Source organism: Homo sapiens, chromosome 12 (genome assembly GCF_000001405.40).
Source record: "Homo sapiens chromosome 12, GRCh38.p14 Primary Assembly".
Taxonomy (NCBI): domain Eukaryota; kingdom Metazoa; phylum Chordata; class Mammalia; order Primates; family Hominidae; genus Homo; species Homo sapiens.
In genome coordinates, this window is record NC_000012.12 from 127459064 (window position 1) to 127484087 (window position 25024).

The 25024-nt window shown below is 40.3% G+C and overlaps 1 long non-coding RNA gene across 1 annotated transcript; it reads left to right on the plus strand.

Moving 5' to 3' along the window:
* The first annotated feature begins 884 nt into the window (after positions 1-884).
* Positions 885-11427, plus strand: LOC105370066 (uncharacterized). The gene is made up of 3 exons (XR_945526.2): positions 885-1932; positions 9076-9181; positions 11128-11427. It is a non-coding gene; the product is annotated as an uncharacterized LOC105370066 (long non-coding RNA).
* Positions 11428-25024: the final 13597 nt, after the last annotated feature.

Genomic DNA, 25024 nt, shown 5'->3' on the forward strand with positions numbered 1-25024 from the left:
GCACAGTTAATACATTTTGGCAACTACATACATCTGTTCAAACACCATCACAATCAACACACAGAATACTCCATTCATCCTGAAAGTTTCCTCATTCCCTTTCACAGTCAATACTCCCACAGACTCCAGACCCAGCAAACACCAATTTGCTTTCTGCCACTATACATTAGATCTGCCTTTTCTGGACTATCATGTAAGTAGATTCATACAGCATATTGTTTCTAGCTTCTTTCACTTCACAAACGTTTATGAGATTCATCCTGTTGTTATGTGAATCGGTGACTCACTTCATTTTTAGTGCAGAGTAGTGTTTGTTGCTGGGAGTTTATTTACCACCATTTGTTTACCTTCTCATGTGTTCATGAACATTGCATTGTTTCTAGGCATTGCTGTTATGAACAAAACTACTACAAACATTCATGGACAAATCTTTATGTGGTCATATGCTTTAATTTGTCTCTGACAAATGCTAAGAGCAGAATAATTGGGCAATATTGTAAGTGTAAATTTAAGCATGTAAGAAACTGTCAACCTTTTCTCCAACTGATGTATTAGGTTGGTGCAAAAGTAATTGTGTGTGTGTGTTTTTGCCATAAAAGGAATGGCAAAAACCGCAATTACTTTTGCATCAACCTATGATTCCCAGTTGCTCTTCACTCTCACCAAATCTTTGTATTGCCAGTTTAAACAATTCTGTCCTTTACTTGCAGAACCCTGCTGCTAATGTGCCCAGCTAAAAAGAAAATAAAACAAACCGGCAAACACAAAACGCTGTATTTCCCAGCAGTGCAGCCAGCTGACAAGGTCTGGCCAATGAGAGGCCAGCGGAAATTCCTGGGCGGGACTTCCGGGAATTCCCATAAACTGGGCTGAGTTTCCACTCTCCAAGATGGTGGCCCAGGAAACTTTATGCCTGGGGGAATTCTCGTCTCAACCCCAGGGCTTGTGAGCAGGCTTGGCTCTGAGCTGGAGCTGGTCTGCTTCTGGTGGATGGTGGCCCTGTATGGACAACTCAGGCAGCTCTTGGTCCTTGATCTCCTCACCTTGTTGCGTTAGCATAGTGGTTCCACCTTAGCAAAAGGTATCACTCCTTGCACCCTCATCCGGACGTCTGGGGAATCATACTTTTGGGGGATGTGGCTAACCTTGCCCAAAGCCTTTCTGTATTTGGGTTTTGGTGGATCCTGGGTCCACAGCTAAAGGGATGCAAGGCCTGAGTCGGGCAGAGATTCGGGTTCCTTGGCTGGTTTACTCAAGGATGGGGAAGGGAACATGAGAATTTAAATGAGAGAAGTGTGGGTCTTGGTTCAGGGCTGTGCACAGAAAGCAAACCCTGAATGAGAGAGGAGGAAGTAAAAGTCCATTTAAATACACTACACGTTCCATCATTCAGACAGACAACACCTTCAACTCATGCTTAACTTGGCAAATTGTCATTAGATACAGATAATCATCAATGGATCTTGTAGCGTCATTTACGGGCAGTTCCCAGAAGGAAGATGACATTTCAAACCAAATGGAGTTCAAAATTTCTGCTGCTCATTCGTAAACTGCTTGTGGCCTAACTCAGTTCCCAAGAGTCCTGTTAGTAATTCTGCCTTTGTCTTTTTCTTTCCTTTTACTTTAGCATTGGAGCCCCAAGGGCTCACCATCAGCATAGACTCTTCTCACCAATACCTTACCTACCTGGGATCTGTTGTATGAGAAATTCAGAAACCCCCTTTTTGCATAAGGAAACCATCAGGAGCTAAATCATTTTTTTACATACAAAGCTAAGTGGTTTTCAATATTACATGTTAACTACAGACCTTCATTATGGAAAATGTTGTGCCTCTGGACTTACGGCAACCTCAAAATATTTCAACCTCAAAATATTTCGGACAAACCATTAAGTTTACTTGTAAATGGAAGCTAAAAGCCTACATTTTCCAGGTGAGAAAATCTACCTGAGCAGTTTTATTTTGCCTTATGGAAGGAACTATGACAGCACCATGGAAGAAAATCACCATGCTCTTAGCGACCCCTGAGAGGTGAGAAAGCAGCTGCTGGCCTCAGGGGATCTTGCCCTGTGTGCCTCAGAACTGGAGCTTGTGGGCAGGTCTTGGTGGCTCACACCTGTAATCTCAGCGCTTTGGGAAGCCCAGGCGAGAGGATCACTTGAGGTCAGGAGTTCGAGACCAGCCTGGGCAACATGGCAAAACCCTGTCTCTACTAAAAATACAGAAATTAGCCGGGCATGATGGCATGTGCCTGTCATCCCAACTACTTGAATCCACAGAGGTTGCAGTGAGCCAAGATCCTGCCACTGCACTCCAGCCTGGGTGACAGAGTGAGACTCTGACTCAAAAACAACAACAATAACAAACGAACTGGAGCTTCTGTTCAGATAGTTCATTTTCTGATGGGATTGCTGGGAGGAAAGTCAATGGACCCAGCAGAAGGGACCCACGAGGGGCTCTATTATGCTATTTGGCAAGAGAATGAGAAAGTAGAGGACAGGCTGGATGAATAGGGTACCATTGGCTTTTAATGGGCTCATGAAAATTCTTAGCTCAGTGAATTCTGGTTGGATGTAGTGTTGTCATCTGGCAGCCTTCCCAGCCAGTCAAACCAGGAGGTATTGTCATGTTGATGTGACCTCACCTGCAGTTCTATCATTTTTTCTTCATCCTGAGTTGCTTACTTGCATAGTCAACTACTGGTATGAGAGCATGACGTGGGTGAGACCCTGCTTGGTGTTTTGAAGATGTGTATTTAAGAAGAGACAAAGCATTTCCAACTGCAGGGGGACAGTCATGTGGATGCACATATACACAAGCCAATCCCTCTAAATTCTTTTTTTTTTTTTTTTTTTTTTTTTTTTGAGACAGAGTCTTGCTCTGTCGCCCAGGTTGGAGTGCAGTGGTGTGATCTTGGCTCACTGCAAGCTCTGCCTCCCGGGTTCTCGCCATTCTCCTGTCTCAGCCTCCTGAGTAGCTGGGACTACAGGCGCCTGCCACCACACCCAGCTAATTTTTTGTATTTTTAGTAGAGACGGGGTTTCAACGTGTTAGCCAGGATGGTCTTGATCTCCTGACCTTGTGATCTGCCCGCCTCGGCCTCCCAAAGTGCTGGGATTACAGGCATGAGCCACCGCACCCGGCCTCTAAATTCTTTACTAATAGAAAAGGGTTGGCCAGCAACTGAACCAAAAAAAAGAAAGATGAAAGCAACATAACGTATTAGTTTCCCACTGCTGCTGTAACACATAACTACACACTTCCTGCTTTAAAACAATGTAAGTTTATTCTTTACAATTCTGGAGGTCAGAAGTGTGAAATGCGTCTCACAAGGTTAAAACCAAGATGTTGGCAAGACTGGTTCCTTTTGAAGGCTTTAGGGGATGTTTCCTTTTCTTGCCTTGTCCAGCTTCTAGAGTTGACTTTTCCTTTTTAATTGCTTTACTCATGGTCTCTTTAAAGCCAGCAGCCTCACATCTTCACATCTCTCTTCACTTTGGTTGTCACATCCCCTGTGACAATGTCCCGTATATAGACCCCTGTAATTATGTATAAATCTATAGAGATTTTCTGCTTCTCACTTTTTATAGAAAGCAGTTACTGCATCCAGATTTGGGTAAAATCCAGAACCAGCTGCTGTAAATAAGGTCATAAAGGAAGAAAGGTAAATCAATGACTTCAGGATGTCAGGGCAAACAGGATAGTGGATAGGATCTCTCACAGGTAAAAGGAGGCAGTAGAGTGTTAGTTCATTGAATGGACTTTGTTTAGAACCAGGTGGTTGAAATTGTGTCCCCATCACTTACTAGCCTTGTATTTTAAACAAGTGACTTAACTCTTTTTACCTCAGTCTCCTTTTCTGTAAAATAGTATCTACTTTGCAGGATTCTTTAAGGATGAATTGAATTAATAAATGCAAAGTGTTTCCACAACACCTAGCATGTAATAAATAATTCTTAGTTATTGCAATGACATTTCACTTATTGGATTCTGCTGATGATACATTCATGATAATCTCCAGACAATATTGATCTCTTCTTTTCTCTGAGCTCTGGCAATGTGTAAAACTTTAATCAAACAGTTTAATTTGGATTTTCTTTTATTGTTAGTTTATATTTCATCTGTCTCTCTATCTATATATATTTCCAACAATAACTTTTTCTTTTTCTAAATCATAAGTCCCTCAAGGCCATGGCTGTTTGTCTTTCACTTTTTTTTGTTGTTGTTGTTCTTTCCCAACCTTGACTTTTGATTGCCTTGATAAGTTAATTCACATAGAGACCTACACTTAAGTTTGTGCTTTGTAAGAAAGCTATGTTTGTACATTGAAGAAAAGCATTGACCAAGCAATTTAGTCATGTAAGCATAAATGCTGAAGGGATGTTGATGGTACTTGAAATTATGCTGTGTGGGCATTTGAGAAATACCCATTCGCATGCATACCATTGATATGGCCATGATAACATACTTTCAATGAATCATTAAAACATGTTCTCTAGGAATATGTCACATCACCAGGCACCATGTGTTTCATCTTCCTTCATGTGCTTGAAAACAATGGTCTGCATTGGGAAAAGGATGCACAATATTCCATACATGATGTTGACCCCCTCAAGCTAGTTAGGATTACAAGTGTGTTATTATTTACAAAGAAAGGTCAGGTCTGGGGCTATAAACTGACCCTGGTTCTGCTCAAGTGAGCTGTGAGGAACCCACATCTATTTCCCAGCCCCACTTTTTTCAGTGTTGGTCACATGTAAGGCAGACTCCTCAGTATAATGAGAGGGCTAGAACAGGATACAGATGAGGGAAGGGGGCTGGGCCAGGGGAGGAGGTGGACAACAGGGAATGGTGGGAACTGTGGGGAACCTTAGAATGTAGGCACCCACCAAAGATAACAGTAACCACGCAGATCCAGCTGCATGTCTGGGTGGACATGCATGCCAGCTAAGTGGAGGGAGCTGGGGCAGGGGCAGGGCCATATTCCTGGTTGGGTAACTTATGGATACTTCTTACAGTATCTCTGTCTTACTGACATCATCGATGAAGACTCAGTATCTAAAGTAAGCATATTGGACATTCAATGTGTAACCAAAAAGCAGGTCAGTTGCTTGTCACATGCAGAGTCCAGTTAGCCAGAGTGAGGTCTGGTATAACAAAAGTAAATTTATTCTGAAGCTAGCTTGGGGGAAGGGGCACAAAGCATCTTTAAGGATGAAATGAGTTAATAAATGTGCCATTTCCCTTTTGGAGCAGAAAGCAAACACTTCCATAAGGCAGTGAGGGTCAGTGAGCAAGGGACGGGTTCCTCCTGCTAGCTCGGTGCCTTATCTACCTGACGGTTGAGTTGGCACCTTCCTGGGCAGAAGTAAGATGTAAAAATGGTTAAGCAGGCATACTTTTGATATACCCTCCCAGAGGCTGGAAGTTCTGAGGCAACCCCTGGAAGTGAATATTCCACAGCGGGCATGATTGGGTCTGTAAATCGATTGTTAGCTCTTCAGGAATTAGATGATCTTGTCCTCTAAGAAGTATCTGGTGAAGGAAGAGGTAAAAGGCTGTATTTTCGTCTCTGAAGGACTAAGTGGGAAGCAGCAAGTGGGAAAGGGGAAAGGAGAAAAAGAAGAGAAAATAATTTAAAAATAATTAAACTATTAGGAAAATAGGGGTACTCGATTGCAATTGGGCATTGATTTATTGTGGGTACTGAGCTCATGCTCTCCATCTTATGATTCGAAAATATCCTGTTGAATCCCAACTGCAAGTTTTTTCTCTGAGGCAATTACCTTTGTGTCTGTACCATCAGGGGCATACTCTTGGTGTTTCTTTTCCAGCATCAACAGTTTTATCAGGTTGTAAATAGGCTTGCCATTGAATAATTATATTTTTAGATGCATTTTGTTGCTTTGAGCAATGCGTTGAGTAGGCATTTATGTTGGTTTTGATCATCTCTACCTAATATCGCTTGCTGTCTTGTCACAAAAATACTCTGATGAGTACTTTGGGGGATGCACTTCTCGCGTAGCCTGTGGATCAGGGAAAACTGATATACTTCAGGTGCCCAGGGTGGGTCACATGACCATGGCTGGGCTCATCAGCAAATTCTATTCTCCTAATTCAAGTGATTGGTTTAAAGATGGGCACATAACACATCTGATGATACAAGGAGATTCGCAAAATTCTTCTTTGGGTACTTCTTGGAAATCAGTTTTTAGTAGTTCTTGCTGAACTTGAAGGAAATCAAACATGATATTTTTCTTCCCATGAAAAGGAGATTGAATAAGGATCTGACACCGTTGAAATCAGTTATGAGTTGAGTAAAAATGTCTAAATGAAGTTTTCTGAACTTTGATTTTCAGCTGTGATTGGAAGTCACTCTATCTCTAGACATTCCATTTATGACTGTCATTAACTTTTGTTTAAGCTCATTTGAATTGAACTTTTTGTTTCATCACAATGGGAAGAATCCTTGTAGATGGATGGAAAGAGCGAGTGAATGAAGGCCAGTTTGAATTCGAATCCCTAAGTAAATGAACTCGACTATGACATTTATCTGAGCTGACTCTTATGTTTATGGGGCAAACAATTGAGTTACTTCATGGTGTTCTTGGTGGATATTAGGAAGTAGATCCCATGTGACGGGGGCGAAATTGAATTTCAGAGAGATTAAGTGATTTGTCTCACTAGATAATATGAGTTGATGACAGACTTAGATTTCCAACATGGATTTTTTTTTTGGCCTCTGTTATAAGCCTCAGCTGCCCCTAATCAGTTAATAACAGAGTTTTCTGAATTATTAGCACATTTCTGATACTATCTAAACAGTCTCTGAAATGTCCAATTTGGAATAAATATAAATGTAAATTGGAACAAGGTGTACACAATTTTCTACTGCTCAACAGCTGATATTGCCTATAAATGATTAAAATTCCTATTAGATTAAGGTCTAATTTTTCTACTTAATATTTGTAGTAATGCATGCTAGTTTCACATCTGGATCCTTGTGGGCATCTAACACATCGACTTCAAATCCCTTCACTCTGGTTTCACGTTATGCCTTTTCATCTCCACTTAGCCCATGAAACTGCAATGTTGATTAAGAAAGAGCCATGTGATTTATTTCAACTTTTTATCAGGTTAAAGGGTCATAGTTGTACCAATTAAAAACTGTGTTGAGTAAGTAATTCTTGCTGCTGTAACAAATGAACCTCCGCATTTCAGTGGCTTTCCGTGTTCAAAGTTGTATTTCTTACACCCACAATGATCTAACATCACTGATGATGGTTGGCACGTGGTTTACTTCCCTGTCTTAATTTCTGCCATGGCCTAGGGCCTTTAAATTATCTTCTCCAGCTGATGGAGGGAAAGAGAGAGATGTGTAGACACATCTAAACCATCTAACTTGGAAGTGATACTCATTTCTTTTGCTCACATCCCATTGGTTACAACTAGTACCACATCTGGAAGCAAAGCTAGGGAGGCTGTGAAACAGTCCCTATAGACCGTAGCCCTAACTGCCCCTCTTAATAATTTGCAGAAACATACATGGTAATTGAGTATACAGCAAACTCTTTCTGCCACAAAAACAATGCCTCTCTCTGCCATTTCACCACGTTTCTAATTGCAACCGGCTGTTCAGCGATAAATTTACCTGCGTGGCTACTTTTTATATTTATGGAGCTGAACTCTACTCAGTTTAAGGAAGTCTCCTCTTCTTCTGAGATATAAATTAGAAACAAATTATTGGCTTTCAATGTTTGATGTCTGGAATAACAAGCCTAAATGAGATCCCTCTAGTGTCGGGACTTTTGTCTGAACCCAAAAGAGAAAGCCAGGTTCATTGTCCTTGCTTTATTTGTGTTTCTGGAGGAGTTCTAAGACAGAAGGAAGATGCACTTGATGACATACTGGGCAGGTACTGGGGGTAACTGTACATCTGAAACAAATATCAGAGCGTGGACACCAACTGAGGAGAGAGCAAGAGAAGAGAGTGCTGGTGGCTTACAGGCGGATTTGTTATTATTATTTATAAGCTGGCCTCAACCTATTTCCTACCTGAGTTTATAGCTGATGCCACCTCCTGCAAATTTCCTTTCGGATACTCAATGTCTTTTCTGCAGTGCCCGATGGCCTTTTACATTTGTGTGCTTTTGTCAGACTGGCCCAAGTTTTCTGCAACGTCTTCTGCCTGTCCTTGCTCTGACTGGCAAACTCCTCCTTAATCCTCAAGATTCAGTGCAAATGTTATCTCTTCCATGAAGTGGTCCCTAAAAATTCTCTAGGTCATTAGTTGATCCAGCTGGTTGCTTTCATAACACTTGGAATTATTTTATTATAGCGCTTAATCACATTGCATTTCAATCTCATTTAAGAACTGCTTTCTAAGGGAAATCTTGGACCTCTCTGCAGGGGCTTGTGACTTTTGTCATTGTGCAGAGGCTGAAGGTGTTCTTAAGGTGAGCATCTTGGCTAGCCTCTTCACTTTCCATAATTCAAATATATTGATTGCTTAAAATATAGATATAGAATACAAGTTTGTATGTAACAAAAAGTATTTTTTCTACTGTTGTTAAAGTAATACACATATACAGTAAAAATAGAGCAGGAAGAATAAGTTCAAGAGAACTGTTGTACAACATAGTGACTATAGTTAATAATGATGTGTTCTCAAAAATTGCTGAGAGTTGATTTTAAGTCTTCTCACTACAAAAAATGAAATGTGAGGTGATGCATAGGTTAATGGGCTCTATTTGGCCATTCCATAAGATATGTGTATATATATATATATATATATATATATATATATATATATATATAGTTACAACATTATTCTGTACACAATAAATATATTTAATTGTTATCTGTCAATTACAAAATAAATAAATTCAGATGACCATCAGTCCCTCTCTACAGTTTGCTCCCTGTCCAGAGGCAGGCACATCTAACATCTCCTACTTTTATTTCTTTTTGTAATTACTTCTGTAACACTAAATAATGTTAACACATCTATGTCTTCCTTAAATATATTTATAGAAGCTAAGGATTTAGCATACTTTTTCTGCCTCTTACTTTCCAGTATATCATTGAGAATTGTCTTGAGCTGCAAGTAACAGAAAACTTCTCTACGGTTGCTTAGCTACATAGAGATTTGTTTAATTCTCAACATAATGAAGAATCCAGAGGTAAGTGCTCCAGGGCTATTCAAGAGAGTTATCAAGGATCTAGGTCCTTTCTGGCTTTGTACACCACCATGCTGAATGTATAACGTCGGGTCACAGTGATTGCAGAATTCCTGCTCCACCTCAGTTTCTTCTCAAGATGCCAGCATCAGCAACGACACTGGAAAGCTTGGCATTTGGAGGTTAGCTAAATTTATTTAGAGAAGATTCCTTTGCTTTGTTTTCCACTGAGGTAAATACAAAGCATTCTAACTTCTACTCAGTGGGGGGAGGTAGGGAAATGGAGATGAATATTCCATACACAAAATGTTAATCAGTTTTCTTGCATTCAACCTCACTTTTCTCTCCCATCTACCACTATATTTGCCAATGTGGAATCAGGGGCCCCTGTGGGATTCCAAAGAGGACCCTCTTGGCATCTTCACTGTTCTCCAGACTGTGGTGTCTTTTGTTTCTGTTCCATCTTACACTTTAACAGTTTTTGTCCACTCTCCATCTTCCACTGTTTTAGATAAACACTTTCTCTTGCTGATGGTTTGCATCTTACACTGTTTGCTGGAAAGTATTTGTTTTGATACTTCAGTGGTATTTAGTGGGGTATCTGTGGACATGTGAGCTGAATGCATGGATTCATGGCCATGGATTCTTCAGAAAAGAGAACATCCAATATTTTAAGTCACATATTATGTAACTTTTGTGTTTGTAAATGCATTAAAATATAACCAAAGACAGTCATCATCATACTGTTCACACCCATATCCGTGATCAAAATCTAAATTTATTGTTGGCAGAAGGAGCTTAACCAAAAGTTCTACAGTTAATTTTTAAGAAGAAGGAATTTTATCATCAATAAAATGGTGATATAGAAGGTTGTTGAGAAGACAATAATACTCCCATATAATAAAATATATTGTAAGACTACATGAATCAAACTGTCTTGGTACTAGCACTTAGAGGCGCAAATCAATGCAATATAATACACCACTCAAAAGCAGACACTAGTATTTATAAAATCTAGTATGAATTAAGGAGAAAGCAACAAGTTATTTGAACATGGTATGGAGAAAATAACTGGCAATTTGGGAAAACACTGTTAGGGTCACTACTTCGGCCAGTATGATAATTGAGTGAAATCTGAGTTTAAAATGGAGATTGAGAGATGCATGTTAATTAGAGTGCAACTGCTCTGCCAAAAACTGAATATTTCAATTTAATTTTGAAAATTTTTACAGGAAGGAATCATTCCTCTGCTTGTTGAATTTAGAAAAAATTCAGCAGATGTCAGTCTGTGATTTATGATCATGTTCCCATTTCACATCATATGCCAAAATAAATTTTAAAGGAATTCCAGAGCTAAATTTAAAATCTGCAGCTAGCTAGACATACACACAGAGATAGCACTAGAAGAATATATTATATATATATGTATACATTTTTCATATATGTGAATATGAATATCTGATCTTTATTAGAATTATCCAGAGAAACAGAGCCAATAATTTGAGTTATCTCCTTATTTTATATATAATATATACAATGTTATGCAATTTTATGTGTGTATATATATACACCCGTACATAAAATACATATATATGTATTTTCATGAATAAATATATATTCATATATAAAAATATATATTCATATATACATATATATATATATATGAGAAAGACATTGGCTCATATGGTTATGAAGACTGAGAAGTCCCAAGATCTACAGTCAACAAACTGGAGACCCAGGAGAGTGGATGTGTACTTTCAGTCCAAGTTCAAAGGCCTGATAAATAGGAGAGTTGATAGTATAAATTTCAGTCTGAATGTTGGCAGCCCTGAAAACTAAGAAGAGCTGAGGTTTCAGTCCAAAACTGAAGCACAGAAAAGGCCAATATCTCATCTCAATCAGTCAGGCCAAGAGAGTTGCTTCTTATTCAACATTTTTATTCTTTTCAGCTCTTCAACTGATTGGAGGATGTCCACTCACATTGGAGAGGGCAATCTGCTTTTCTCAAAGTTCAGCCACTCAAATGTTCATTCATCCAGAAATGCCCTTGAAGATACACACAATATAACATCTGGCCAAATATCTGGGCACCCTGTGGCCCAGATTGACACATAAAATTAAACCTCACCATCTTGCCTAGGGGAAGGATTTTCTCATCATAAATGCCATTGTAGAAATCATGAAAGAAATGATTAGTACTTCCTACTGTGTCTTAAGTTTCATGCTTTTGCCTTCACTATAGAATACGCATGTGCATAGAAGCTCGTCAGAAATATATAATCTCAAACTATGCTTCTTAACTCTTATTAAGAATTCAGCTGCTCTTAGGAAGAGGTTTTACAACAAAATAATGTTCTTAAGGGTAAGAATTAGAGTCAACCTTGCACATTTGTGAGTTCTGCATTTCAGTAATACTGTATTTTCCACCTGCAGTTGGTTGAATCCATGGATGCAGAACCCAAGGATATGACGGGCCAACTGTACAAGCTATTCTCTATGGTCATGTTCTAGGTTCTCTCTCTGTGAAGTCTTACCATCCAGCAGCAATTGGCTTCTCTGGAACTACACTACTTTGTTCCCTGTGGAATCTCTTTTATTGGAATGCCCTTTTGTGGTGTACCCCCCTCCCTTTGTTTTAAAAGTTGGATAGGAAGCATCTGGATAAAGTTCATCTTGTCTGTGTGTGTAAATGCCTTTGTGTCTCTAAAGATTTTCTTCCGAGACACCCATTAGCATAATTTCTCTTAGTCCCTGTAGCCATGAAAAACTATTGTCATTCGTCTTATAGAAAGTACCAGTCTCATATCATATTGTGATTTGAGAGCTGAACATTTCAGAGGCGAACTCGGTGTTCTTCAGGCTTTGCTTAGAGTATTAGATGTTGATTTTTGCTAACCTTTTCCCTGTCTGCATAGCATAGTGGCTAAGAACATGGACTCTAGAGCCAGGTGGCTGGAGTCAAACCCAAGCTTTGTTACTCACCAGCTCCATGCTCTTGGGAAAGGCGCTTCACTTGGAGGGTTGCTTTGGTACATATTATTGTGTGGGGGCTTCTATTTAATAGGCCTTTTGTGCACTCAATAGAGTAAGAACTATCTGACTTCTCTCCAGATGGCTGAGCCAGTTCATGTTCAAGTCAGCAACAAATGTGGGTGCTGAAATCCACCCATCCCTGGAAATATTTGGCATTATTCATCTTCGTAAGTTGTCCTAATTAAAAATTGTCATATAACAGGTCCCGGTGTGTGATGTTCCCCTTCCTGTGTCCATGTGTTCTCATTGTTTAATTCCCACCTCTGAGTGAGAACATGCGGTGTTTGGTTTTTTGTCCTTGCGATAGTTTGCTGAGAATGATGGCTTCCAGCTTCATCCATGTCCCTACAAAGGACGTGAACTCATCATTTTTTATGGCTGCATAGTATTCCATGGTGTATATGTGCCACTTTCTTAATCCAGTCTATCATTGTTGGACATTTGGGTTGTTTCCAAGTCTTTGCTATTGTGAATAGTGCAGCAATAAACATATGTGTGCATGTGTCTTGCCTGTTGTGGGGAGGGGGGAGGGGGGAGGGATAGCATTAGGAGATATACCTAATGTTAAATGAAGAGTTAATGAGTGCAGCACAGCAACATGGCACATGTATACATATGTAACGAACCTGCACATTGTGCACATGTACCCTAAAACTTAAAGTATAATTAAAAAAAACAAAAAACAAACAAAAATTGTCATATAATATGTTGTTTTTTTATAATTTGCACTTTATAAATACTGATGAGTTTGAAAACCTTGTCATGTGGGTGTTAGCTTTATATGTTTCCTCTTCTGCAATTGCTTACTCATATTCGCTGGATGTTTTAAGTGTTCCTTCTTTCACTCAATGATTAGCAGAAATTCTTTATATATTGTATAGGGTAATTCCTAGTTATAGACATTGTATACATAAGATACTAAATTTACATCTCTGTCCGGAGATCTCGTTACCATTTTCAGTCTTGTCTGCATCTTCCCCTCTACTGTCTTTCATTTCTCCAGCCTAAGTTTGATGAAGCACTTACCATGTGCCAGGCATGGTATTTTTTTGTTTGTTTGGTTTTTGTTTTGTTTTGTTTTTTGAGACAGAGTCTCGCTCTGTCACCCAAGCTGGAGTGCAGTGGTGCAATCTTGGCTCACTGCAAGCTCCGCCTCCGGGGTTCACGCCATTCTCCTGCCTCAGACCACCAAGTAGCTGGGACTACAGGTGCCCACCACCATGCCTGGCTAATTTTTTGTATTTTTTTTTTGTTAGTAGAGATGGGGTTTCACTGTGTTAGCCAGGATGGTCTCGATCTCCTGACTTCGTGATCTGCCCACCTCAGCCTCCCAAAGTGCTGGGATTACAGGCGTGAGCCACTGTGCCTGGCCATGCCAGGCATTGTCAGATGGTATGAATGGAGTGAGTCAGCTGTAGTCTCTGTCCTTATGGAAGTCACTTCTGTTCATTAAGACAGGCATATAACACAAAAATTTGAATGGGCTTCATGTTTCTAAGACAGGGAGTATTCAAGAAGGCCATAGTAACTGTGATGGTTAATACTGAGTGTCAACTTGATTGGATTGAAGGATGCAAAGTATTGATCCTGATGCAAAATATTGGTGTGTCTGTGAGGGTGTTGCCAAAGGAGGTTAATGTTTGAGTCAGTGGGCTGGGAAAGGCAGACCCACCCTTAATCTGGGAAGGGACCATCTAATCAGCTTCCAGCATGGCTAGAACGTAAAGCAGACAGAAAAACGTGAAAAGACTAGACTGGCCTAGCCTCCCAGCCTGCATCTTTCTCCCATGCTGGATGCATCCTGCCCTTGAACATCAGACTCCAGGTTCTCCAGTTTTGGGACTGGGACTGGCTCTCCTTGCTCCTCAGCTTGAAGACAGCCTATTGTGGGACCTTGTGATCATGTGAATTAATACTTAATAAACTTCCCTTCATCCTATTAGTTCCCTGTATCCTATTAGTTCTGTCCCTGTAGAGAACCCTGACTAATACAGTAGCCTTGTCTGAAAGGTGTAGAAGGTTTCTTCAGGGAGGTGACACATGAGCTAAGAGCAGAAGGACTGGACAGAGGCAACCAGTGAAAGGGTGACAGGTGGGTGGGGGTGGAAAAAAGGGGGAAAGTATGGCTGGATGCAGAGAACAAAGGGGAGTGTTGCAGGAGATTGGAAGGGTGGGAGTGGCTGAGGGAGCTGAGGCCTCAGAGGCCGTGTTAAATAGTTTGACCTTTGCCCTAATAGCAATGGAAAGTTACATCAAGGACACCAGTCTTTAGTTTTAGAAAGTGATAAGTTGACTGGCAGATCCCAGAGTGGCCGCTAGAAGACTGAGGATGAGGTGTTTGATTTGACCCAGGAGTGAGGCAATGGCTCTGGGAAACTCAGGAGAGAGTTTTAGGTGACGAAGGTGGCAAACGTAAGGCTCTTCCTTATGAGTCTGAAAGAATTCCTCTTTGTACTTCGTGGATTTCCAAGAAACCCTTGAATAGCCGCCTCCTTTTCTCATCACTTTGTGTGGGTTTTATAGCTGTGTGTGTGTATGTGTGATAGTGTGTAAAATATATCTGCTGTGTGCCAGTGGATTATGGGGAACTGGCTCAATTTGCCTCTTTAATATTTTGTAATTGCTTTATAATGAGTTGTGTTATAAGTGGTTTTCAGGAAATTCAAAGAGACGGGGCTAAACAGAGAGGCAGGGGACACATTGTCATATTACTTTCGTGTCTGGAGGGCATTGATCTAAGACTATTTCATCAAATCTATTCCGAACGTGGAACATGCCATGTATTTCCACGTAAGGTCTATTAGGAAAAAAAGGTTCTGCCTCTACTGTGTTTTAAAATGACTATCGCTGTCATTTATTATAAATGAAAGATTTTAAAACTTCCTAAACAAGAAGCAGGAAGATAATGAGTTACGGAATGGTGTCATTTGTACACTCTAAAATTGCAAACCTAGGTATACTTTCTTTTTTAATTATACAAAATTGGGATTCTATCTCAGTTTTCTAAATCCACGATTCTCTTTGCAGAGAATTAATAACTTTTCTTTTTTTGTTCTTATTTTATGTAAACTTCTAGGCTAGCTCTTAAGCCAGTATATTACACCTCACCCATGCATGCCCCTGTCTCCCATGGGGAGCTCTCTGCAGACAGGATGCTGACTTGGGACTGTCTGTGTCCACAGCACCTAGCACAGGACTGTCAGCTTGTAAGCACTCATTAAGTGTCTATTGACTTGAAGTAAGTTTGTAACACAGTATAAGAAAATTTGCCAGCCACCTCCAGAGTCTCTAGCTATGACTTTTGCTCCCCCGTGGCAATGCTGTTGCATGTGCTACTTAATAAGTGTATTTGAGTGTTTTATCCAAATAGAAAATCACACCTTTACACAGTAATTGTGCTTTATTGGGTTTTGACAAAGGAGCTTCCTTCCTGCCCTGAGGTTTGAATGTCAGGATCAATATTAGAAGCACTTTCTCCAGAGGCGAAAAGTTAAACAATCAGCCAGTGAAACTGGTCATTTTAGATTTCCTGGGTTTGGAAATTGGTGATGATTTATAGATGCTATTTATAGCTTTCATTGAGTGAAAATATAGAAAGGCACTACTTTTCTCTGAAAATTTGCAGGAATTTTGCCTGTGTATTAAAGGACCTGCTCTTTCTATGAGTAAAATGTCAAGCTGAATACTCCCAACGACAAGAATTTCTTCAAAACCATCGCCTCCTCTTCCTCTCTCCTCCTAGGCCTTTATCCTTTCTCACTGTTTTACAGTCACAAGGGACTTCTGTTGGCTTCTTGAAAAACCGGACTTACTTCCACATCACCACTGTTTTCTTTGTGCTATCAGGCTTTAAGCCTCTTTCTTCCAATATTTCATGGCTGGCCTCTTCTCATCGCTTAATTTTATTTTTCTTTCTTTTTTATTTTTCTTTTTTGAGACAGGGTCCCACTCTGTTGCCCAGGCTGGAGTGCAGTGGCGTGATCTCAGCTCACTGCAACCTCCCCCTCCTTGGCTCAGGTGATCCTCCCACCTCAACCTCCCGAGTATCTGGGACTAGAGGTGTGCACCACCAGGTACAGCTGATTTTTCTATTTTTTTTTTTTTTATAGAGATGGGGTTTCGCCATATTGCCCAATCTGGTCTCAAACTCCTGAGCCCAAGCCTTCCACCCACCTCGGCCTCCCAAAGTGTTGGGATTACAGGCGTGAGCCACCACACCCTGCAGCTTCTCCTTTTTTCTCGGGTCTCAACTTAAGCACTTCCTTTCCTGGGACCATTTCCCTCATCATTCTGAGAACATCCCACCTCAGCTCCTTTCTGAGTCATTATCCATCGTTATCGTCTTCACAGAACTATTGTCCATCTGAAATAATCTCAGTTGTGTTTATTTTTTTAATTTACTTATGCATCTATTAGCTGAGGTCCCCGTTAGACTATCAGCATCATGAGAACAAAGAACAGGCCAGAGAAGGCACCCCTGGATTTTTAGCACCCAGGACAGTGCCTGTGGTGTTGTCGAATGATCTTGCCTTTAGAGGCTAGATCCAACAGTTAATTCATGGATCAAGGGTATAGGCTGATACCGTGTTTAGGAAGCGATAAAATGCTATTTTAATACATGTGATGGCATAAGCCTAGGGGGGTGACCACCAGTGACTCCTGCCTCCTTTTCATGCCTATACATAATATTATCCCTGAGTGGGTGTGGGGCTTGGGAGTTATTAATTGCTCTAACTAATATAATATGGCAAAGATGATGGGTTACTACTTTTATGATATCACACACACACATATGTCACTTATGTACAGAGAAATCTATATTTATATCTATCCATCTCTATAATGCATATGAGCATGTCATTATATATTACATATGTAAATTTATATGATCATACACACACACACGTATATACATAAGCAGATCCACTCCCTGCTGGTCTTGAGGAAGCATGCTGCTATGTTTGCTGTATTGTGAACTGCCTATAGAGGAAGCCACGTGATGGGGAACTGTCGGCATCCTCTAGGAGCTGAGAGCCTCAGTCCTGCGATCACGGGAACAAAGTTCTGCCTACAGCCATATGAGCATGGAGGGTCACCTTGAGCCTCAAATGAAAATGCAGTCCTGCAACTTTGACTGCAATCCAGCAAGATCCTGAGCTGAGGATCCAGTTAATCCAGACCCAGACTCCTGACCAACAGAAACGCTGAGATGTTAAAGTGTGTGTTGCTTTGAGGCATTCATTGTTTGGTAACTTTTTGTGAAGCAACAGATGACCATTACAACTTGTATCTCTTCGTTTAGAAGTTTCTTGTTAATTCTAAGGTCAGAATCCCTCATCCCCATCCTTCTTTTTATGACATTTATGTGTGTGGATACATAGATAGATAGATAGATAGATAGATAGATAGATAAATAGATAGATAGATATAGAGATATTTGATCACCAATTGGAAGATTTCAAAAGGTCAGAATAATTTACTAAAACAGGTTCAATTGATGGTTCCAGTTCTCAGCAGTCTTGTGCCCCCTGCCCTTTCATTTCAGCCCGGATTTTTCCCTGCTTGCCAAGTACGTGAAATTGTGCTAATCAATCTGTAATTTTTTGGTGCTCAATAATTTATTTTAATTATGGGCTGCTAAAGATAGCAATAAAAGAAGAAAGAAATGTATCTGAAATTATGAATGAAAATGAGTTGTTATGTTTAATGTTTTCCAATGGAAGAATCTTATTTTACGATGGCTTCATGTTTCAGAAAAAAACCAGGGGTTAAATTACATTATGTAGCATGGTTTAAAATTCAGGGTAGCAGAAGAGACATTTCTCTCATGGAACAGATTAATACAAGACCTAATAGAATTTTCTGACCCTAAAAACCACCAAGAGAAGATTTCATTTATTTCTCTTCTGTATATAAATTTTACATATTATAAAAATTATTTCAGAAATGTTATTGCCAACAAAAAACATAAAATATAGTATGAACTAAGATAAAATGGCAGAATACCATTTGCAAATGATTAATCTAGCCTAACATTGCTTTTTAAAAAGGCCAACAACTAGGTTTCATCTTCAGAATCTGCTTTCCAATCCCAGTGAGCTTGCTCAGTTATGAATGCAACATCCAAGACTGCTGGTTTCACCTCCAACATGTGAATCATTTTAAAGTCACCACTCCCATTCATAAAACAAGAAAGGAGCTCAACAAACTGAAAACCCACGACTTTTATTATGCACATCAGAAACTGTAGGTCACAGCACAGTTACCCCCAAACCTGGAGAGACAGGGAAATATAGATAATCACAATTAATGTCCAATGTGACTACATGGGGCAGAAGCATCTAGAGCCATGAAGCCAGGAAGCAAGAGTAGCCACACAATGCCCAGGAAGAACAAAGTGAGGTGACCGATGCTGCTGGCGTTGTGAAGGCCCAGTCATCTAGACTGTGTGCTATTGGAGAAAGAAAAGACAAATGGGTGGATGGAACAGAAGAGGGCCTCAGCAATAGACTCTCACAAATAGAATCAACTGACTTTTGATAGAGGAACAAATGCAGGAGAAGAGTCATTTCAACAACTGGTACTGGAACAATTCTATGCACAAAAGAAAGTGGTGTGGGGGCCAGAGAAAAGAATTCAGACACACACAGTACTTACCACTGTCACAAAAAATAATGTACAGTGGATCTTAGATCTAATACAAAATAGAGTACCATAAAACTTCTAAAAGATAACATGGGAAAAAGTCTAAACAAACTTGCCTGTGATGATGAGTTTTTAGATAACATTTCAAAAGCATGATTCATAAAAAAAGATAAGTTTGACTTTATTAAAATCAAAACTTCTGCTTTCAGAAAGTTAATAGAATTTTTTAAAAGTCAAATACTGGGAGAAAATATTTGCAAAACACATCTGGTAAAGGATTTGTATGCAAACATACAGAAAGAAACTCTTACAACTCAACAAGAAACAACCAAATGAAAAAATGGCAGAGATCTGGCCGGGCGTGGTGACTCACTTCTGTAATCCCAGCACATTGGGAGGCCGATGTGGGATGATCGCTTGAGCTCACAAGTTTGAGACCAGCCTGGGCAACATGGGGAAACCCTGTCTCTACAAAAATACAAAAATTAGCCGGGCACGGTGGTTAACACTTGTAGTCCCAGTTACTCAGGAGGCTGAGGTGGGAGGATCACTTGAACCTGGGAGGCAGAGGTTGCAGTGAGTCAAGGTCATTCCACTACACTTCAACCTGGGTGACACAGCAAGACCCTGCCTCTAAAAAAAGGATATATATTAAACGACAACAGCAATAGAAACTCCGTGGCAGCTCTACTAGTAGAAAAACTGAAATAATTATTTCATACAGTAATATTAAATTGATATGTATGTATGTATATATAGACATATATACATACAGACATCAATAATATTAAATTGATATGTATGTATGTATATATACACACATATATATACATACACACTCACACATATATATACCTTTGATGGAAAAACCATATAAATTAACATTATGTATTTATTATATTTTATATTACATCTAAAAATTTATATATATACATATATATACATATATATATATATCTCAAGGTACAAATTTGCTTAGAGTTCAACTTTCTTAGAAGAAAAAAAAGGCAAGTGAATGAACAAGGAAAGGGCAAGAAATCTCAGAGATGTCACCGTGCGTTCATTTGGAAAAGTTCACAGGTACACAGAGTTTCTCTTTCACAGGTTGAATATTCAAAATTAAAATGAGTACTTTATCACACGTCTTCCTAGTGGATATGCTTTTCTAGCATTAACTTTTTTTAAGATGATTCTAGTTCATGTCATCCTTCAGAAACCAAAATTAGGCATCTCCAAGAGCCAGATGCTTGTGTAATTAGAAAAGAGAGCTACCTTGACAGTGTGGGATGTGGAGACATCCCCTTTGCTCTGCAGGCGTGCAGGTGAGTCCAGCACCGTGGGCCTCCTGTCCTCTGGGTGGCTCTCTGGAAACTTCCCCCCACGCTGTGCGTCTTGTTCTGGAATAAGCTTTCTGTGAAGAATGCCTTGCCAGCCTCTTGGCTCCCTGGGGGGAGTTGCATGCCTCTCTCTTTCTCCTTGTGATTAATTTATCACAGAGAATGTGGTTTGCTGAAGAATCCAAATTAAAAGTGTCTCTCCTGGTGTCATTAATCACATCCTGAAAGTGCGTCAGTTCCCGGGGCTGGGGCTGTCTCATAATGCCTGCTGAATTTCAGATGCTACTTTGTCTTAGTCTCCTTGGCAAAATGCGATTTTATGGACTGTGTCTGGTGAAGGGTTTGGTCCCAAGTAGAATTTCTTTAGGAGTAGTCTGAAGGCCTGTTCAGACTACCCACTGAGGAGCTGTTGATTTATATATTAATACCAATTCTGGGGCCCTGTTCCAGAAAATCTGAATCAGAATCTTGGGGAAATTGAGTCCAGAAATCTGTACGATTGACCAGTGTGATGGTTAATACTGAGTGTCAACTTGATTGGATTGAAGGATGCAAAGTATTGATCCTGGATGTGTCTGTGAGGGTATTGCCAAACAGGGTTAACATTAGAGTCAGTCGCCTGGGAAAGGAAAACACACCCTCAATCTGGGTGGCCACCATTCAATCAGCTGCCAGCATGGCTAGAATATAAAACAGCCAGAAAAATGTGAAAAGGCTAGACTGGCCTGGCCTCCCAGCCTGTGCTGTATGCCTCCCACCCTCAAACATCGGACTCCAAGTTCTTCAGTTTTGGCACCCAGACTGGCTCTCCTTGCTCCTCGGCTTGCAAACAGCCTATTGTGGGACCCTGGGACTGTACAAGTTAATACTTAATAAATGTGCGTATATATATCACTTGCATTATATATATATATAAAAATATATGTTATATATATTTTATAAATATATATAATAATACATAATATATATAAATTTATGTATATTTATATATGTGATATATATCAATTTATATATATTTATATATAATATATATAAATTTATATATATATAATAAATATATATATAAATTATATATAATATATATTATATATATATATAAATTTATATATTTTATATATAATATATAAATTTATATATTTTTATATATAATATATATATTTATATATATTATATAATATATATTTATATATATTTTATATATACATAATATATAAAATATATATAAATTTATATAATATATATAAATTTATGTTTTTATATATATTTTATATATATAATAAATATATATATTATATATATTTTTATAAAATAATATATATAAAATATATATTATATAATATATAATAGGATATATAATAGGATATAATTATATATTATATATGATAATGAGCATAATTATATATTATATATGATAATATATCTTATATATGATAATATATAAGATATATTATATATGATAATATATAAGATATATTATATATGATAATATATAAGATATATTATATATGATAATATATAAGATATATTATATATGATAATATATCATATATATTATATATGATAATATATCATATATATTATATATGATAATATATCATATATATTATATATGATAATGATAATGAGGACAGAGGCCATTTCTCTTACTATCCCCTGTCTCCAAAGAGAAGGAGGAAGTAAAAGCTGAAAAACAACAGACTGATCGACACCGCTGGTCAGGCCTGTAGGTTAAAGATTAACCCCCACCCTAATAGCTTGTGCTACCTATAGATCACAGACTATGGTATGGAGAAGTACTTGCATTGCTTATCCCCACCGCTAATGTATGTGGACATAGTCATGTACCCCATGCATGCTCACTCTATCACAACCCTTTCACGTGGACCCCTCAGGGTTGTAAGCTTTTAAAAGGGCCAGGAATTCTTTCTTCAGGGAGCTCAGTTCTTGAGATGCAAGTCTGCCAACCTCCCGGCTGAATAAAGCCTCTTCCTTCTTTAACCTGGTGTCTGAGGGGTTTTGTCTGCAGCTCATCCTGTTACATTTCTTGGTTTCCTGACTGAGAAGTGAGGTGGTTGATGGACGGTCGAGGTAGCCCCTTAGGTGGCTTAAGCCTGCCCTGCAGAGCATCCCTGCGGAGGACTCTGGCTAGCTTGAGTGACGCAGATCCTAAGAGTGCTCCCGGGTAGCCATCTGCCCTGGTGGAATGCCTCGTCAGAGCGGTGCATGGCAGACCCTGCGAGGATCAACACAGTGGCTGAACACCAGGAAGGAACCAGTGTTTGGAGTCTGGACATCTGGAATATGGTAGGACCGGTCCTGGGAACTTGCCCCCTCCATTTGAGTGGAAGCATGGCCTGATCACCCACGGTGTGCCCTTATTGACACTTTGGTCTCAGTTTTGATTTTGATTTGGCTTGGCTTGTTTGAAGAAAGGAGAGTGAAAGTGAGTGAATACTTGTGATTGACACAAATCTCCTCTTGTGGCGTGAGTGTTCTTTTCTTTCTTTTCTTGTCTTGGGAAGGAGATGGGTAAAACACAGAGTAAGCCCACTCCATTAGGAACTATGTTAAAGAATTTCAAAAAAGGTTTTAATGGAGATTATGGGGTTACTATGACTCCAGGAAAACTTAGGACCTTGTGTGAGATAGATTGGCCAGCATTAGAAGTGGGTTGGCCGTCAGAAGGAAGCTTAGTCAGGTCCCTTGTTTCAAAGGTATGGCATAAGGTAACTGGTAAAGGACACCCAGACCAAGTTTCCATACATAGACACTTGGTTACAGCTGGTTTTAGACCCCTGACAGTGGTTAAGAGGACAGGCAGTAGTACTAGCGGCAAAGGGACAGACAGTCAAGGAAGACTCCCGCTCCACCCACCGAGAGGAGTTGGCTCTTAAAGTCCTGTCCGACCCAACATCAGAGGATTAATGGCAAGAAACAGCACCAGTGGCCCGCACTGTTACCAAGAAGGAAGGCCTCCCACTCCTGAGCCCACTGCGCCCAAGCTTCCACAAGGCCTACATACCCCTAGGCCACCCAGAGTAGAAAAGAAAGGATGTGAGACCTTGGGAGAAACCCTTCCCTTGGCAGCCTGTTTGAGGCCTAGAACTGGCATACAAATGCCCCTGAGAGAGCAATGGTATACTGGGGTAGACGAGGACGGGCATATGGTGGTGCCTTCGTGTATCAACCCTTCACCTCTGCCGATCTCTTCAACTGGAAAAACAATACCCCATCCCATCAACCCTTCACCTCTGCCGATCTCCTCAATTGGAAAAACAATACCCCATCCTATACCAAAAAGCCTCAAGCTATGATTGATTTGCTCCCAACTATTATCCAGACCCACAACCCTACTTGGGCTATTGCCACCAGTTGCTCACGTACCTCTCTTTAACATGGATGAAAGGTGAAGGGTTCTCCAAGCAGCAACTCAGTGGCTAGAGGAACATGTTCCAGCTGATTACCAAAACCCCCAAGAGTATGTGAGGATCCAATTACGAGGAACAGACCTCCAGTGGGACCCAAATGAAAGACAGGTTATGCAAAGGCTAAACCGGTACAGGGAATCCCTCCTGGAAGGGTTAAAGAGGGGATCTCAGAAGGCCACAAACATTAACAAGGTCTCTGAGGTCATTCAAGGGAAAGGTGAGAGCCCGGCACAATTCTATTAGAGACTATGTGAGGCCTATCTTATGTATACCTGCTTTGACCCTGAAAGCCCTGAAAATCAGCACATGATTAACATGGCTTTAGTTAGTCAAAGTGCAGAAGACCTTAGAAGAAAACTACAGAAACAGGCTGAGTTTGCAGGCATGAATACTTCATAGTTATTGGAGATAGCCAACCAGGTGTTTGTGAAAAGAGATGCAGTAAGCCACAGAACCGCAGCGAGAGTGAACGCTAAGTCCGGTGAAACGCCGAACTGCTAGCCGCAGCTATTAAAGGGGTGCCCCCGAAGGGCGAGAGAAGGGGGGGCCCGGGAAAAATACCAGTCTGGCCGTCCATGCTTGCAGAGTAACCAGTGTGCTTACTGTAAGGAAATAGGACATTGGAAGGCAAGTGCCCCCAGCTGAAAGGGAAACAGGGTGACTCTGAGCAGGAGGCCTCAGACAAGGATGAAGGGGCCTTGTTCAATCTGGCAGAAGGGTTACTGGACTGAGGGGGATCAGACTCATGTGCCCCAAAGAGCCCATGGTCAGGATGACAGTCGGGGGGCAAGGACATTGAGTTTCTTGTTGATACTGGTGCTGAACATTCAGTAGTAACCACCCCACTCACACCCTTATCCAAAAAGACTATTGATATAATCGGAGCCACAGGGGTTTTGGCAAAGCAAGCTTTCTGTTTGCCCTGGACCTGCACTGTAGCGGGGCATGAGGTAATTTACGAGTTCCTGTACATGCCTGAGTGCCCCTTGTCTTTACTGGAAGGGACCTACTTAGCAAGCTGAGAGCCACTATCTATTTTACAAAGCATGGCTCTTTACAGCTAAATTTACCTGGAACGGGAGTCATCATGGCCCTTATGGTTCCTCTGGAAGAGGAATGGAGACTCTTCTTAACTGAGCCAGGCCAATAGATAGGACCAGCCCTGGCTAAGTAGTGGCCAAAGGTGTGGGCGGAAGACAACCCTCTAGGGCTGGCTGTCAACCAGGCCCCAGTACTCATAGAAGTTAAGCCTGGGTCCCAGCCAGTCAGGCAAAAGCAGTACCCAGTTCCCAGAGAAGCCCTTGAAGGCGTCCAGGTCCATCTCAAGGGCCTGAGGGCCTTTGGAATTATAGTCCCTTGTCAGTCTCCATGGAACGCTCCCCTCCTACCTGTTCCCAAGCCAG